The sequence below is a fragment of the Homo sapiens genome, chromosome X (genome assembly GCF_000001405.40).
Source record: "Homo sapiens chromosome X, GRCh38.p14 Primary Assembly".
NCBI classification, from domain to species: domain Eukaryota; kingdom Metazoa; phylum Chordata; class Mammalia; order Primates; family Hominidae; genus Homo; species Homo sapiens.
In genome coordinates, this window is record NC_000023.11 from 29,574,056 (window position 1) to 29,590,174 (window position 16,119).

A 16,119-nucleotide genomic window follows, 5' to 3' on the forward strand; every position below is an offset into this window, starting at 1 on the left:
AGATTTAATTGTCTCATGGTTCCACAGACTGTACAGGAAACATGGCTGGGGAGGCCTCAGGAAACTTATAATCATGGTAGAAGGCGAAGGGGAAAGCAAACATGTCCTATGTGGCTGGAGCAGGAGGAAGAGAGCAAAGAGCGAGGTGCTACACAACCAGATCTCCTGAGAACTTACTCACTATCATGAGAACAGCAAGGGGAAAATCTGCCTCCATGATCATGTCTAAATTGCATGTCAGATTGTAATTCCCAGGCCCTTCCTCCAATACTGGGAATTACAATTTGACATGCAATTTAGACAGTGACACAAATCCAAACCATAACTTTCCGTCCCTGGCCCCTCCCAAATCTCATGTCCTTCTCACATGGCAAAATACAAGTATCCCTTCTCAACAGTCCCCCAAGTCTTAACTTATTCCAGCATTAACTCAAAAGTCCGCAGTCTGAAGTCTCATGTGAGACAAGGCGAGTCCCTTCTACCTATGAGCCTGTAAAATAAAAAACAAGTTAGTTAATTCCAAGATACAATATGTCTTGGCTATTAGCATTCGGCTCCTCTTTACTTATGCAAATCTCTGCAGCCAGCTTGAGTACTCCCCAGAAAACAGGTTTTTCTTTTCTACCACATGATCAGGCTGCAACTTCTCCAAACTTTTACCCTCTGCTACCCTTTTAAATATAAGTTCCAGTTTCAGATCATCCCTTTGCTCATGCATATGCTGTTAGAAGCAGCCAGGCAACATCTTGAATGCTTTGCTGCTTAGAAATTTCTTCCACCAGATACTCTAAATCGTCTCTCTCAAGTTCAAAGTTCCACAGATCCCTAGAGCAGGGGCACAGTGCTGACAGTCTCTTTGCTGAAGCATAACAAGAGTGACCTTTGCTCCAGTTCCCAATAAGTTCCTCATCTTCATCTGAGACCACCTCAGCCTGGGTTTCATTGTCCATATCACTATCAGCATTTTGGTCACAACAATTTAACAAGTCTCTAGAAAGTTCCAATCTTTCCCTCAGCTTCCCATCTTCTTCTGAGCCCTCCAACTGTTCCACCCTCTGTCCATTAACCAGTCCCGAAGCTGCTTCCACCTTTTCAGGTATCTTTATAGCAATGTCCCATTTCCCAGTACCACTTTTCTGTATTAATCAGGGTTCTCCAGAGGGACAGAACTAATAGGATATGTGTATATATCAGAGGAAGTTTATTAGGGAGAACTGGCTCACATGAACCCAAGTCAAAGTCCCCAAAAGTCTCCAAGCTGGGAAAACAAGGAAATAGTAGTGGCTCAGTCCGAGTCCAAAAACCTCAAAAGCGGGGAAGCCAGCAGTGCAGCCTTCAGTCTGTGGCTGAAGGGCTGACAGCCCCCAGCAAATCACTGGTGTATGTCCAAGAGCCCAAAGGCCAAAGAACCTGGAGTCTGATGTCCAAGGGCAGAAGACTCCACAAGCCAGCTTATCCCACCTTCTTCTGCCTGCTTTGTTCTAGCTGCACTGGCAGCCAGTTGGATGGTGCCCACCCACATTGAGGGTGGATCTTTCTCTCCTATTCCACTGACTAAAATGTCAATCTCCTCTGGCAACACCCTCACAGACACACTCAGAAACAATACCAGCTAGCTAGGCATTCTGCAATCCAATCAAGTTGCCACCTAATATTAACCACTACAGAAGCTGTCAGTGGTGTTGTCCTGAATGACGTTGGCCTGTACCTGTTAGGGTGATAGCTCTTCTAAATCAGAACAATTTCCCCATCTCAATAATGTGGATCTGTTTCCTTGAACCTAAACTGTGTCTCTGAGGGTATAGCTTCCAGAGGGCTGTGTGAGCTGTCATACACATGAAATGCAGCAAGGACTCTTATGGAGAGGACCTCTATCACCTGACGTAGTTTCTGAGAAGACTCATGGCAACAGCGCCTATCATAGTTTTGAGTGTCTGAATGTTTAATTAAATCTACAGTGACCCCTTGGAGGGTGATTGAATGATATTTCTCTACTCTCCAAATATGCAACTTCGTTCTTACCCTCTGCATCATCATTTATAAAATAGAAAGACTAGAGCTGGTTTTCTCCAGGTGTGGATCTCTGATAATCCTCAGCAGAGTCACTTGGGATACAGATTCTCAGGTCTCAACCAAGAGAAATTAAATCAGGATCTTTGAGGTTAGGGTCCTGTAATCTTCTTTTTTAACACCTTCTCCTCCCCATGGTACTTGAATACACAGCTGGACAAGATGCTCATTAGTTTATTTTCTATTTTAGCCCTTGACCTTATAATTCTAATGATTTGTTCCTCCCATTCTACATAATGTCTTAATGCAATTCAAATCTCATTTCTTCAGAAGACCATCAAGGAATAAATAACTGGGAGTTTCAGAAATGGCAACAGTTTAGGGAAAATCTCTGTAGTTAAGTCAGGTTTGAGAAACCCCTGGAACAATTTGTTGTAATTGTATACTTTTTTAAAGATCCTTTTGGTCCCCTGTAATCCTTATGATTATTAAAACATACAGGTCCTTAGCACCATATAACGATTCTGTTTAAACTGTTGGCTTTTCTTTTTTTTCAACATGCTATCACCATTGTCACTGTTGCCTTGACTGTAGGGTAGTGACTTGCTAGAAGGTCAGAGATTATATTAGGTCTTACCAAACAAGTGAAAATCAATATTTTCACTCTCTTTAGGAGAATGAGTTTCATATATACTCGAGATGAAAGAAAAATTCCCTTTGTTGTTCTGCTGAAGTTGTCAAGCCTTCCATTAGTCTAGGTTAAGTTTCTGGGGTTATGAATTTAATTTTGGTTTCTAATATTGATTTATATTTCATAAAGACTTTGTTGGTTACAAAAAAAAAATCCTCAGTAAATTTTTCTACTTCAAGGGCAGTGCTTTAGTTTAGAAAAAGATGTGTTTCTCAGTGATTTAGTTTCCATTTCTGGACTTAACAATAATGAGTGAAACAGGAAATTTTGCTGTGAATTATGAAAGGTTATTATACAGTATTTCCAAGCCACTCAAAATTATGCATTCATCTTAGGCTCTTAAATTTAACAAAACTGAATGAGATTCAATACTATTTTCTCTGTTTTATCAAAATGTTATTGAAAGTTGTTTAAGATTTTATACTCCTCGAGGGCACATATCTTTTGTCATCTTTGCATTTTCAGTAGTGTTTTTATACTGCAGATAATTTATGCACATTTTATAAATGAGTGAACAAATAGATGTTATGAAAAAAAAGTACTGTTATCAGATTCCAGGATAAAGTAAAAAGCAATATTTAGCAATCCTCCATATACTACAATGCCCTACCCAAGCCTGTTAATTCCACTCCTCATCCTCATCCTGCCACAAACATTTTCAGAAGTCCTCAGACATCTCTGCTATATTCCCTAACTTGCCCCAAACTCCCGTGATCCAAAAGTAGGCTTCCCTTTCTCAATTAAACTTCCCTTTCGCTCAGTACCCCAATCTGAGCTTGCTATCCTGCGGAGAGTTACCTGGGAAATGAAGAGATGCAGCTGTATGATATATATGAACAAGTTTACCCTTACTGGGGAGATTTGTATTTTAAAAGATGGTGATGGAAAACTACAGTGATATATACATGCTAACTTTTCCCAATGTTCAAATTTCAGGTAGTGGGACATATGGCAAAGGTATTTTTCAATAGCAACCTAAAGACCTCTCAGGGAGGTGACCTCCTTTTCTGCCTCCAAGTATTGCTGGTTCTGCTATAACCTGATATGATTTTTTATTTATAGAGTGCTTTTTATAAGTTGCCTTCTTCAGGAAACATAAAAGAGTGGGAGGGGAAATGAATAATCTCTCATGCTTTTGTATCAGTTATTATCAACTTTGGCTGTACATTAGAATCACCTGGGGAGCTTTAAAAAAATCCTTGTGTCCAGGCCATCCTCCAAGCCAATTAAATCAGAATCTCCAGGGATGGAGCCCAGGTATCAGTATATATAAAGTTCCCAGGTAATTAGATTGTGAGGCCCACTAATCTAAATGAGGATGAGGAATGCAGTAGATCTCTGATGCTTACAGAAGACAATAGTTATAAGAAAAAGCCATGTGAGAAAAATTGGAAATGGTTGACCCTTTGGGAACTGGAGAGCAAAGACAGTGGCTACTGAGCTCCAACCAAGTGTTGCACCATGGGAGGGAAGGAGCAAGATGATTAAGAGGATCAGCCCTAGTGGCAGATCCCCTGAGGTTAAAGTACTTTTCTGCCCTTCACTATGTGAGTTTGAATGAGTGTCTTCTTTGTACTTGTTTTCTTATTAGCAAAGTGAGGATGATGATTATACCTATCTCTTAAGGTTGTTGTGAGGATTAAATGAAATCATAAGCATAAATCACTTAGCATTATGTTGGGCACGTAACAAACATATTCTACACTTTTGAACTATTTTGTTATGATGATCAACTTTGAAATACTAGAGTTCACTTGTCTTCTTTTCAGTAGGAAGTTGGCTTCCAATCTAGGGAGAGAGAAGGAAGAGAAGCAAGAGCTAGGGAGATGATAATCAAATGGTTCTGAGAATGATCTTAAATTTTTAAGATTTTTAAATTTTTAAAAAGGCTTTCTATCCCCTTGTTCCCACCCTCAGCCCTCAAGAATTTCTTACTGTCTTTATTTCCTGCCATTTCTTGTTCTTTTATAATCTTGTACCTCTAGTTTCACTATACATCAAAAAGATGGGAAGTGATATGCTAACATAAATGGGTGAATTTGTAGATGTATCAGTTGAGATTTTGCTGTGTAGTAAACTACCTCAGAACAAACAATAATTATTTTGTAGCTTAAAACAACTATTTTGTTTGTGCCTCATTAATGAATGGGCAATTTGGGCTGTGTTCTGCTGGGTGGTTGTTTTTATGGCCTTACTCATGTATCAGTGTCAGCTGTTGGTCATCAGGGACACTCTTTATTTCAGGATGGACTGGCTGAGGCTGGGATGAAGGGGTTGACTGAGCCATGTGTCCCTCATTATATAACTAGTTAACCTTGGCTTATTTACATGATGGAAACAGTTTCCAGGAGTGGAAGATTGGAAGCTTTTAAGATCAAGGCTGATAACCAGCACTGCATACTTCTCCCAATTTCTTTTGGGCATAAAAAATCATAAGGCTAGCGCATATCCAAGGGAAAAGTAAGATGAGAGTTGCTTCAAAGCGTTATGGCCATTTTTTGGTAATCTTTGACAATAACCTGTTGAAATAAAGCAAATGGGAGGAAATGAGGTCACAGTGAGGCTGATAGCATTGGACATATAAAAGTCATATTATAGATAGGCTTTGGCAGATGACTGGGTATGTGTGGTGAGAGATAGAAAAAAATTAGTGGAAGTTGCAGACTTAGTAATTATGAGAATTGAACTTTGATTAACTAAAATAGGAAAGCCAGAAGGTGACAAAGTAGCACGGAGGCTTACCTATATATTCTCTTACAGAAAACTTTGTACTGTATTCCTTTTCTAAAATTGCTTTTGTTTTTTAATAACCATTTTTTCCCAAGGGCAAGATGTGTTTTAAAATTCATTAGTTAAGGACTCAAATGACCAATTCGATTTTTCTACTTCTTAGTTGACTCCTTCATGAACTTTTGGAATAATAATAAAATGTATAAATAGTGTATGTACTTTATGCTTTAAATGAATATTCCTCTAATATCAACTCCAAAGCAGGTTATTCAAAGTATGAAAACCAACATATCTAACTCTGTGCTCAGACCAAGATTTGTGTAGCATCTCTAGAGAATCTGAGAGAAATCTATGAGAATAAAAGACAGTGGCACTGAGACATTATCTTTACATATGTGCTTATTGAATCTGTATAGAATTCTTCTATAAAAATTATAGACTTTTTTGTTACAGATTTGCTCTCATGAATTTAATTTTATATTGCCTTACTCTTATATTGTCACTTTATATAGGCCACTAGACTGTGAAATAAAATCAGATAAAGGTAGATGTTTTCCACCACTACCCCTTCTCCCCAATTTAGTATTCACAATTATTTTGCTATAGCAAGATGGTCTCTCCTTTTTACTGGTATTTTCCCTCAGAAAGTCTTTTTTTTTTTTTTCACTTTGACGTGCATTACGTTAGGTACTTTAAAAATAGCATATTTTCCTAAATTAATAGTCTTTAATATTCATTTATAAATACCCAGCACCACTTAACCTAGTGCTTTAAAAATTGATTATTATTTATTATTGCCATTACTTAAAATGTGCTTTTAAATAATTAAATGACTTTTTAATATTCCCCTCTCTCTCTCACTAACTTGAATACATTTTACCAGCCTTGATTTGTGGAGATGTCTCCACATGGATAGCTAGCTCTACTGGACAGGATAGCTTGTGTTACTAGCTCAGGCATAAATAATTATTTACTTTTGTTCTCTTACAGTATTTTCCTGATCTGTTACTTTGCTACTTCCATATTATTGCTGCATAATAAACTATCTAAGTACTCAGTGGTTTCCAATAACAATCCTTAATTCTCACTCCGTTATCCGTGGATCTTCTGGGGGTTGGCTATCTGTAAGGGGCTTAGCTGAGTTAGACTCTAAGATGTAGGTTGAGTCTCGGTCTGTGTCATATAACTCATTCTCTTTAAACCCATCATAGGTTTGAACATGGTATGGTCTAGGAAGATGACTCTGACAGCACTTTTTCTCTTTGCCAATTTGAACGCAGATGACTAGACATCTCAATGTATAAGATGTGAAACAGGAAACAACATGCAAATATACCTTTATTGACTTATAACAGATGACAGCAATTCCATTTTCCTCTACTATTGCATTTTCTACTCTATTTGTGAATGTGAGCTTTCCTCATCAATTTATAGAATCTCTGTATGACTCATTCTGTCTTAATCTAAAACTGAAATAACTTTATATTGTGGAAATAAAATATCTTACATCTCAATGTAGTCTAAAATAGGTTAAATGAGATGGTTCTTCCTGAGCAAGCACAGCAGGTCTGCAATACATCTTCTTTCTCCACATACATTATGTCAAGTATTCCTTTAGCATTTATATAAGTTGTATATGTCACACAGATATGGATCTATAAATGCAAACAGAGCACAGATGCTGGCACGATACACACTTAAAATTGTTTTATAGCTTTTGGATTTTATTTGTGTCGACTTAAAAGCAAATTTATAAATATTTTTTATTTAAGTAAAAGATGTGAGCTGCTATTAACACTGAAAGTGATTTTAGAGATCATATATTCTACCTCCCACATTCGTCACATTAGGGAGTACAATTCAGATGTGTCAAGTGGCTTATCAGAGGTTGGACTGTGAGTTAGTAGAAGACCTGGAAATGAACTCCAGCTCTCCTGACTACCCAGTTGGCTTTTTCCATCCTATTGCCATATCTCCTAGGCCTCTGCCAGGACAGAGTGCCACAGAACTGTCAGATGGGGAAATGAGACACAATTGTTTCCTGGATTCTATTATTGTTGAGATTTTTAAAAATGTGTTTTAATTCCTAACCTAGCTTTGCAGGCACATCAAAGCTGAGTGCATGTCCTTCCGAAATCTTCCCTGGTATCCTGTAATGGACACTGATTTTTTTTTTAAATCTTCGAATTCTTGTAACACTTAAACATTTTGGTGTGAGGATAGTAAAATCATTAAGAATAGGAAGCATATCTCTTGCTCCTTCTGCACCCTCTCACAGAGATTAGGGCAGTTCTGGCTGTTTAATATTATTGACAACTCCCCAGAAAGATGAACACAATAAACTGTTGATTGAGCACAGCCAAGTTTACTAGATCAACTACAGTAAGAGAGAGCACCATCTGAATGGAGTCTTGGTAATGTGTCAAAATATGATATTTTTAAGAGTTTCAAGCCCAGGCTGTATAATTTTAGGGTTGGTCTTGCAAAATGGGTAGTTAGTTGAGGCTTGGGCTGAGTTTATGTCCTAACAGGTTTGAATGGGTGAGAACAACACTACAAGAACCCATGATATGATTAGTGATGGGTAAGGTATTCCAGTATTTTTAGTGCAAGACGAGGAAAGCATGCATCTTCCCAGAATTGCTTAACGTGGGAAAACATAGTGGTATCAGTTTTTAATATTTGCTTATGGACAGGTCATTATTACATAATCCTAAAAATGAAACTGGGTAAACCCCAAGTTATATGTAGGAGGCATTTCTAAATAACACTCAGAAATTGGAAACTATGTAATTAATCAATTAATTAATTAATTTTTGGTATACAAATATAGCTCTATTAAACTAATGATAAAGATAGCATCTTTTTTTTTTTATTTTTTTATTTTTTTATTTTTATTTTTATTTTTTATTTTTTTTTATCATACTTTAAGTTTTAGGGTACATGTGCACATTGTGCAGGTTAGTTACATATGTATACATGTGCCATACTGGTGCGCTGCACCCACTAACGTGTCATCTAGCATTAGGTATATCTCCCAATGCTATCCCTCCCCGCTCCCCCGACCCCACCACAGTCCCCAGAGTGTGATATTCCCCTTCCTGTGTCCATGTGATCTCATTGTTCAATTCCCACCTATGAGTGAGAATATGCGGTGTTTGGTTTTTTGTTCTTGCGATAGTTTACTGAGAATGATGGTTTCCAATTTCATCCATGTCCCTACAAAGGACATGAACTCATCATTTTTTATGGCTGCATAGTATTCCATGGTGTATATGTGCCACATTTTCTTAATCCAGTCTATCATTGTTGGACATTTGGGTTGGTTCCAAGTCTTTGCTATTGTGAATAATGCCGCAATAAACATACATGTGCATGTGTCTTTATAGCAGCATGATTTATAGTCATTTGGGTATATACCCAGTAATGGGATGGCTGGGTCAAATGGTATTTCTAGTTCTAGATCCCTGAGGAATCGCCACACTGACTTCCACAATGGTTGAACTAGTTTACAGTCCCACCAACAGTGTAAAAGTGTTCCTATTTCTCCACATCCTCTCCAGCACCTGTTGTTTCCTGACTTTTTAATGATTGCCATTCTATGACAAACCCACAGCCAATATCATACTGAATGGGCAAAAACTGGAAGCATTCCCTTTGAAAACTGGCACAAGACAGGGATGCCCTCTCTCACCGCTCCTATTCAACATAGTGTTGGAAGTTCTGGCCAGGGCAATCAGGCAGGAGAAGGAAATAAAGGGTATTCAATTAGGAAAAGAGGAAGTCAAATTGTCCCTGTTTGCAGACGACATGATTGTTTATCTAGAAAACCCCATCGTCTCAGCCCAAAATCTCCTTAAGCTGATAAGCAACTTCAGCAAAGTCTCAGGATACAAAATCAATGTACAAAAATCACAAGCATTCTTATACACCAACAACAGACAAACAGAGAGCCAAATCATGAGTGAACTCCCATTCACAATTGCTTCAAAGAGAATAAAATACCTAGGAATCCAACTTACAAGGGATGTGAAGGACCTCTTCAAGGAGAACTACAAACCACTGCTCAAGGAAATAAAAGAGGACACAAACAAATGGAAGAACATTCCATGCTCATGGGTAGGAAGAATCAATATCGTGAAAATGGCCATACTGCCCAAGGTAATTTACAGATTCAATGCCATCCCCATCAAGCTACCAATGACTTTCTTCACAGAATTGGAAAAAACTACTTTAAAGTTCATATGGAACCAAAAAAGAGCCCGCATCGCCAAGTCAATCCTAAGCCAAAAGAACAAAGCTGGAGGCATCACACTACCTGACTTCAAAGATAGCATCTTAAAAGGATACATTGGGCATCAGATTCAGGAACTAGAGGCAGAAAATTTATGGGAAAGGATTGCAGGCACTCAGAAGTAATTGTGGCACAACAAAGTGATCTCTGTGCCATATCATTTGTCCTACAGTGCATGCTTTCTAGTTTCCTTTGCCTTGACTTCATAGTAACCTCCTAGATAGAGTCTAAGATTGCTCCTCTGGCACTGGTCCCTTGCTTACTTGTGCTTGGCCTGTCTGTTGCTGACTTCATCTCAGACTTCAGCCTACAGCCCTGATCCCTGCCTTCAGTCCATATCCTTGGTTTGGTAACTTGTTTATGCGGTCTTCCCAGTATGTAACCACTGTCCATACTCTGTCCATATCACTGCTCCAAGGTGGCTTATGGTACTATATTTCCAAAAGCCTGCTAAAGGTCATCACTACAGCAATTCTCCTTTTTCTCCCATCATCAATTTTCTCTTCTCTACTGAATATTCCTGAAAACATACGAACAGTCCATTGTTTTTCCCATTCTAAAAGAAAGAAAACCTTTCTTGACTCCAATTTCCATTATATTTAACTCCTTATTATCTCTTTTCCATAATTGCAATATGCCTAAAATTTCTTCAATTTCTTTAATTAATTTATCTCCTCCCATTCTTACCTGAATCTACCCCAATCAGGCCTTCAACTCCACCGCTTTGCTCAAAGTGTACTGGTGAAGTTGAGTCTTGATTTCCATGTTGCTAAATTCAGTAGTAATTCTCAGTCTTCATCTTACTTAAAATTATCCAGGCTGGAGTGCAGTGGCAAGATCATGGCTCACTGCAGCATGGACCTCCCAGGCTCAAGTGATCCTCCCACCTCAGCCTCATGAATAGCTAGGATTACACATGTGCACCACCATGCTTGGCTGGTATTTTTTATTTTTTGTTGAGATGGGGTCTCACTATGTTGCCCGGTCTAGTCTTGGCTCCTGGACTCAAGCTATCATCCCGCCTTGGCCTCCCAAAGTGTTGGGATTACAGGCATGAGCCATCATACCTGGCCCATCCTACTTAAAATTTCAAGAACACTTCACACACAGCTGATCAATCTGTTCTCTGTGAAACATTTTATCCTCTTAGCTTCCAACATAATCACTTGCCTGTTTTTCCTTCTAGGTATCTAAATGCTCATTCTCAGATTTGTTTTTCTTACTGGTTTCTCTTAATTTCCTCATCTTCTTTTTTAAACTGTATTTTATTGTGTTGAGAACACTTAACATGAGATCTGCCCTCTTAAAAACTTTTGAATGTACAATACAGTATTGTTGACTATAGGTACAATGTTATACAACAGATCTTTATCTTATTTAACTGAAACTTTATGCATATTGATTAGTAATTCCCATTTATCCCCACCTCTATCCCCTGGAAACCATCATTCCACTCTGATTCTATGAATTTGGCTATTTTAGATACTTCATGTAAGTGGAACAATTCATTATTTGTCTTTCTGTGACTGGCTTATTTTAATTAGCATAATGTCCTCAAGTTTCATTCATGTTGCCATTTATTACACAATTTCCTTCTTTTTAAAAGGTGTATTCCATTGTATATATGTATCACATCCTCTTTATCCATTCATCTGTTAATGCACATTTAGGTTGTTTCCACATCTTGCTATTGTAAATAATGCTGCGATGAGCTTGGGGTCATTGATATACTGATTTCCTTTTCTTTGAATAAATACCCAGAGTTGGATTACTGGATCATACGGTAGTTCTATTTTCAGTTTCTTGAGGAACCTTCAAACTGTTCTCCATAACAGCTGTACCATTTTACATTCCCACTAACAGTGTGCCAGGGTCCTAATTTCTCCACAACCTTGCCAACACTTGTTTTCTTTCTCTATATTAACCATCATGACAGGTATGAGGTGATGTCATATGTCATTTTGATATGCATTTTCCTGATGATTAGTGACATTGAACATTTTTCTCACATACCTGTTGGCCATTTGTATGTCTTCTTTAAACATCTGTTCAAGTCTTTAGCCCATTTTAAAAATTAGATTACTAGTGTGTTTTTCTGTTTGTTTGTTTGTTTGTTTGCTATTGAGTTGTAGGAGTTCCTTATGTATTTTGGAGATTAACTCTTTATCAGATAAATGGCTTGTAAATATTTTATTCCGTGCTATAAGTTGCCTCTTCATTCTCTTGATTGTTTTTTGTTGTTGTTGTCGTGTAGGAGCTTTTCAATTTTAAGTAGTCCCTCTTGTTTATTTTTGGTTTGGTTGCCTATGCTTTTGGTGTCATATTCATGAAGCAATTGGTAAGATTAATGCATGAAACTTTTCCCCTGTGTGTTTTCATAGTAGTTTTACAGTTTCAGGTCTTATATTTAAGTTTTTAATTCATTTTGAGTTTATTTTTCTGTATAGTGTAAAACAAGGATCCCATTTTATGCTTTCATATGTGGATATCTAGTTTCCCCAATATCATTTGTTAAATAGACTGTCCTTTCTCCATTGTGTATTTTCGGTACTCCTGTCAAAGATCAATTGGTTGTATATACATGGATTTATTTCTGGGTTCTCTATTCTGTTAGATTGGCCTATATGGCTGTCTTTATGGCATTACCATATCTTTTGAATACTGTAGATTTGTAATATGTTATAAAATCAGGAAGTGTGAAACCTCTAACATTTTCTTTCAAGACTGATTTCATCGTTTATGGTCTTTTATGGTTCCATATGAATTGTAGAATTTTTTTTACCTATTTCTGTAAAAATGCCATGGAGATTTTGATATGAATTGCATTGAATCTATAGATTGCTTTGGGTAGTATGAACGTTTTAACAATATTAATTCTTCCAATCCATGAACACGGATATCTATTTGTTTGTGCCTTGCTTATTTTTTTTAATAGATGTTTTGCCCTTTTCAGTGTACAACTCTTTTGCCTCCTTAAGTTTATTCCTAAGTATTTTGTTGTTTTTGGTGCTAATGTAAATGGGATTATTTTATTAATTTCTTCTTTAGATATTTTGTTTGTTAGTATATAGAAACACAGCTAATTTTTGTGTGCTGATTTTGAATCCTGCAACTTTACCAAATTCGTGTTGTAGCAGGTTTTTGGTGGAATCTTTAAGATTTTCTTTATATAAAATGTTGTCATTTGCTAATGGGAACAGTTTTTTTCTTTCAGATTTGGATGCTTTTTGTTTCTTTTTGTTGCCTAATTACTCTGGCCAGGACTTTAAAACCATATAATTTAGTCTGCAGACATCGTTAGCCATGAAATTCACAGGTCTTATGCAAAGCTGGGACTGCTGAAAGTGCCATTTGAATTTTAAGAAACAACAGAGGAGTTTAGTCAGTTATTCTTTCATGTGTTATTGAAACTCAGTTTTGAGTGCCATCTCAAAACTAACAGAATAAAAAGAATGTGGGAAAATTCTGTATGTACTCAATCTCAACTTTCCTCCTTGAAAGTTAATATTTAGTAAAATGTAGTCTGAAAGAAGGAAGCCACTAGAAGTCATAGAAACAGAGAGTAGAATGGTGGTTACCAGGGGTTGAGGTTGTGGGCGGGGGGTTGGGGGGCATTGGAGTATGTTGGTCAAAGGGCACAAAATTTCAATTAGATAGGAAGAGTAAGTTTAAACGATGTATTGTATAACATGGTGACTGTAGTTATTAACAATATTCTTGAAAATTGCTCAGAGTAGATTTTAAGCATTTTCAATGCAAAAAATAAGTTTGTGAGTTAATACATCTGTTAATAACTTGATTAGCCATTCCACAATGTATATGTACTTCAAAACATCATGTTATAACTATAAATATAAACAACTTGTATTTCTCCATTTAAAAAATAATAAATAACTATTTATAGAAAAGGAAACCACTGGGCTCCCCCTTGCACTATTGGTCTTATCTGGGGAAACTGTTAGCAAAGGCGAAATAATATGCCAGATGTTCCAAATGGATACGTGATACCAACAGGCTTCTGTTAGAAACTATCTCCTGCCTACAATCCACCAACTGCAGTAGTGCTTTTGTGTCCTGCATGTGTACTGTCGAATGCCAAATTATAGCTCCATTTTCCCTCAGCTTTTCTCTATTCAAACTATTGCAGGAAGTTCACTTGTACATTTTGTTTTGTTTTATCCACCCAGTGCTACTATTTGGCTCCAATTCTACCATAAGCACAGATATATCCCCATGCACTGAAATCTTGTGGCAATGCTTACAGTGGTTAATATTTTTGGATTATCTTCAAAATGAAAGCAGCACACTATTTTTAAATTGTTCTTGAGAACCCTCAAGCCTCAATTTGAAAGATACTGCCCTAGAGACCTAACATAAACATGATTCTCTTTTTAACATGCAAACATTCATTCCTTCAGTAAATATTTATTCAGCACCTACTATGTGTCAGGCATTGTACTTTGCACTGGAGATTCAATGGGAAGCAACAATGGATAAGGCTGTTGCCCTATGAATTTATGGTGTAATGGATAAGGCTTTCCTTGAATAAGTCACAATTATAATGAACCAGGCAGCTAAGGACATGTTCACATTTTTATGTAGTATGAACAGCTGTAGTACCTCAAATTGATAGAAGCTATGAGTTATATGCAACTTAAACTTGAAGTATTTTTACCACTGAAATAGTCTAGAAGCTGTTCCTGAGAGATTAAGTTGTTTTGCATTATCATTACCTTGTCATCATCAGTGGTATGTGGATGTCATGGTTAAAAGAGGAAATATAATTTCGGAATTTGTGGCTTCTCAGTAGAGAACACATTTAAGGAATGATCTCTAAACTACTATACTACGATGGAAGAGAGAGTTCTAAGAAGTGAAAGAGGATAACAAGAAGATTATTAGGAGGCAACAAAGATAGGCTTGGCCTCTGTTGATATTTTCTAGTGATAAGTGCCTGGGGATCATCTAGGTGAAGCTCTAGGCGAATAGTCAGAAGTTGTTGATGTCTGGTAAGTTATATTAATGTAAAACCAGGCACCAGCTGATTTAAAACATACATAATTCAATAGAACACTTCTATATGTTAATCAATAACATCAGGTCTGATCATTTAGGCTACTTGGGTTCTATGTTATTTGGAGCAAGCCGTGCTCCAGATCCTACGAGACAGGTACACTGAGGATACCTAGCAGAGTCCAGCTCTGCTACTCCTATGGTCCTTGAATCATCCTGATGGACATAATTGGTAGGCATGTTAAGAGTGCCGAATCTTAGGCCACATTTATACTAAGTCAGAACCTGTATTATAACAAGATCCCCAGGTATTTGGAAGAACCTTAATTAAAGTTTGAGAAGCACAGATCTAGTAAACTGACTCTCTCTTAGATCTACTGATAATGCATTTTCCAAGCCATTGATTCTCATATCAATTTTACCTTTTTAACTCATTTTATAGCATTCTCTGGGCTTATCATTTTTCCCTCATTCAACATCACTTTTTAAGATCCTTCATTCATACTTTCATGCATTCAATGTATTCATAGTTAGCGAGCATCTTCTATGTGTCAGTCACTGCTCTAGGTGCTAGGGATAGAGGAGTAATCCAAACAGGCCATATCCCTGACTTTATGAAGATTTTAGATTATCATATTTTCCATGGCACTCCTATTTTCAGGTATTCTTTATGATCTCAGATCATTGCTCTTGATTTTTGGTATAAAATGTTATGTAGCATGACAGAATAAAGTTGATTATACTGAGATTGAAGGAACAGAATGCTTTGAGTCATCACAGACTTTTGTTACAGTCCTGGATATACTATAGCCTACTAGCTATGTGGTCTTGGGAAAGTTACTTAATCTCTTCGACTCAATTTCCTAAACTGTGCTATTATATATTAATTAGTAGGATAAAATAAAATAATATATATTAAATGTCTAGTAGGATATGTGGCCTAAGAGACTTTCAATAAATTGGAGGAAGAACAACTCTGGCTGTTCTTGTATTGCTATAAAGAAACAACAGACCAACTAATTTCTAAAGAAAAGAGGTTTAATTGGCTCACAGTTCTGCGGGCTTTACAGGAGGCATGGTGCTGGCATCTGCTCGGCTTCTGGGGAAGCCTCATGAAGTTCACAATCGGCGCAGAAGGTGAAGGGGGAGCGGACACGTCACATGGCTTATGATTAACGTATAGAAGCTTTCTATTGAATTATGTATGTTTTCACTCAGCTGGTGCCTGGTTTTACATTAATATAACTTACCGGGCATCAACAACTTCTGAGCAAGGAGCAAGAGCAGGAACGAGAGAGAGAGAGGGAGGTGCTACCTGCCTTTAAACAGATCTCACGAGAACTAACTCACTATCGCAAGGACAGCAGCAAGGGGATGGTGC

The 16,119-nt window shown here is 37.3% G+C and overlaps 1 protein-coding gene and 1 non-coding gene across 4 annotated transcripts in view; both read left to right on the plus strand.

Annotated features, from left to right (window-relative positions):
• IL1RAPL1 (interleukin 1 receptor accessory protein like 1) overlaps positions 1 to 16,119 on the plus strand; it is a 1,369,273-nt gene that overhangs the window by 986,610 nt on the left and 366,544 nt on the right. The window lies entirely within an intron of this gene.
• MIR4666B (microRNA 4666b) lies at positions 223 to 303 on the plus strand. The gene has a single exon (NR_049877.1). It is a non-coding gene; the product is annotated as a microRNA 4666b (primary transcript).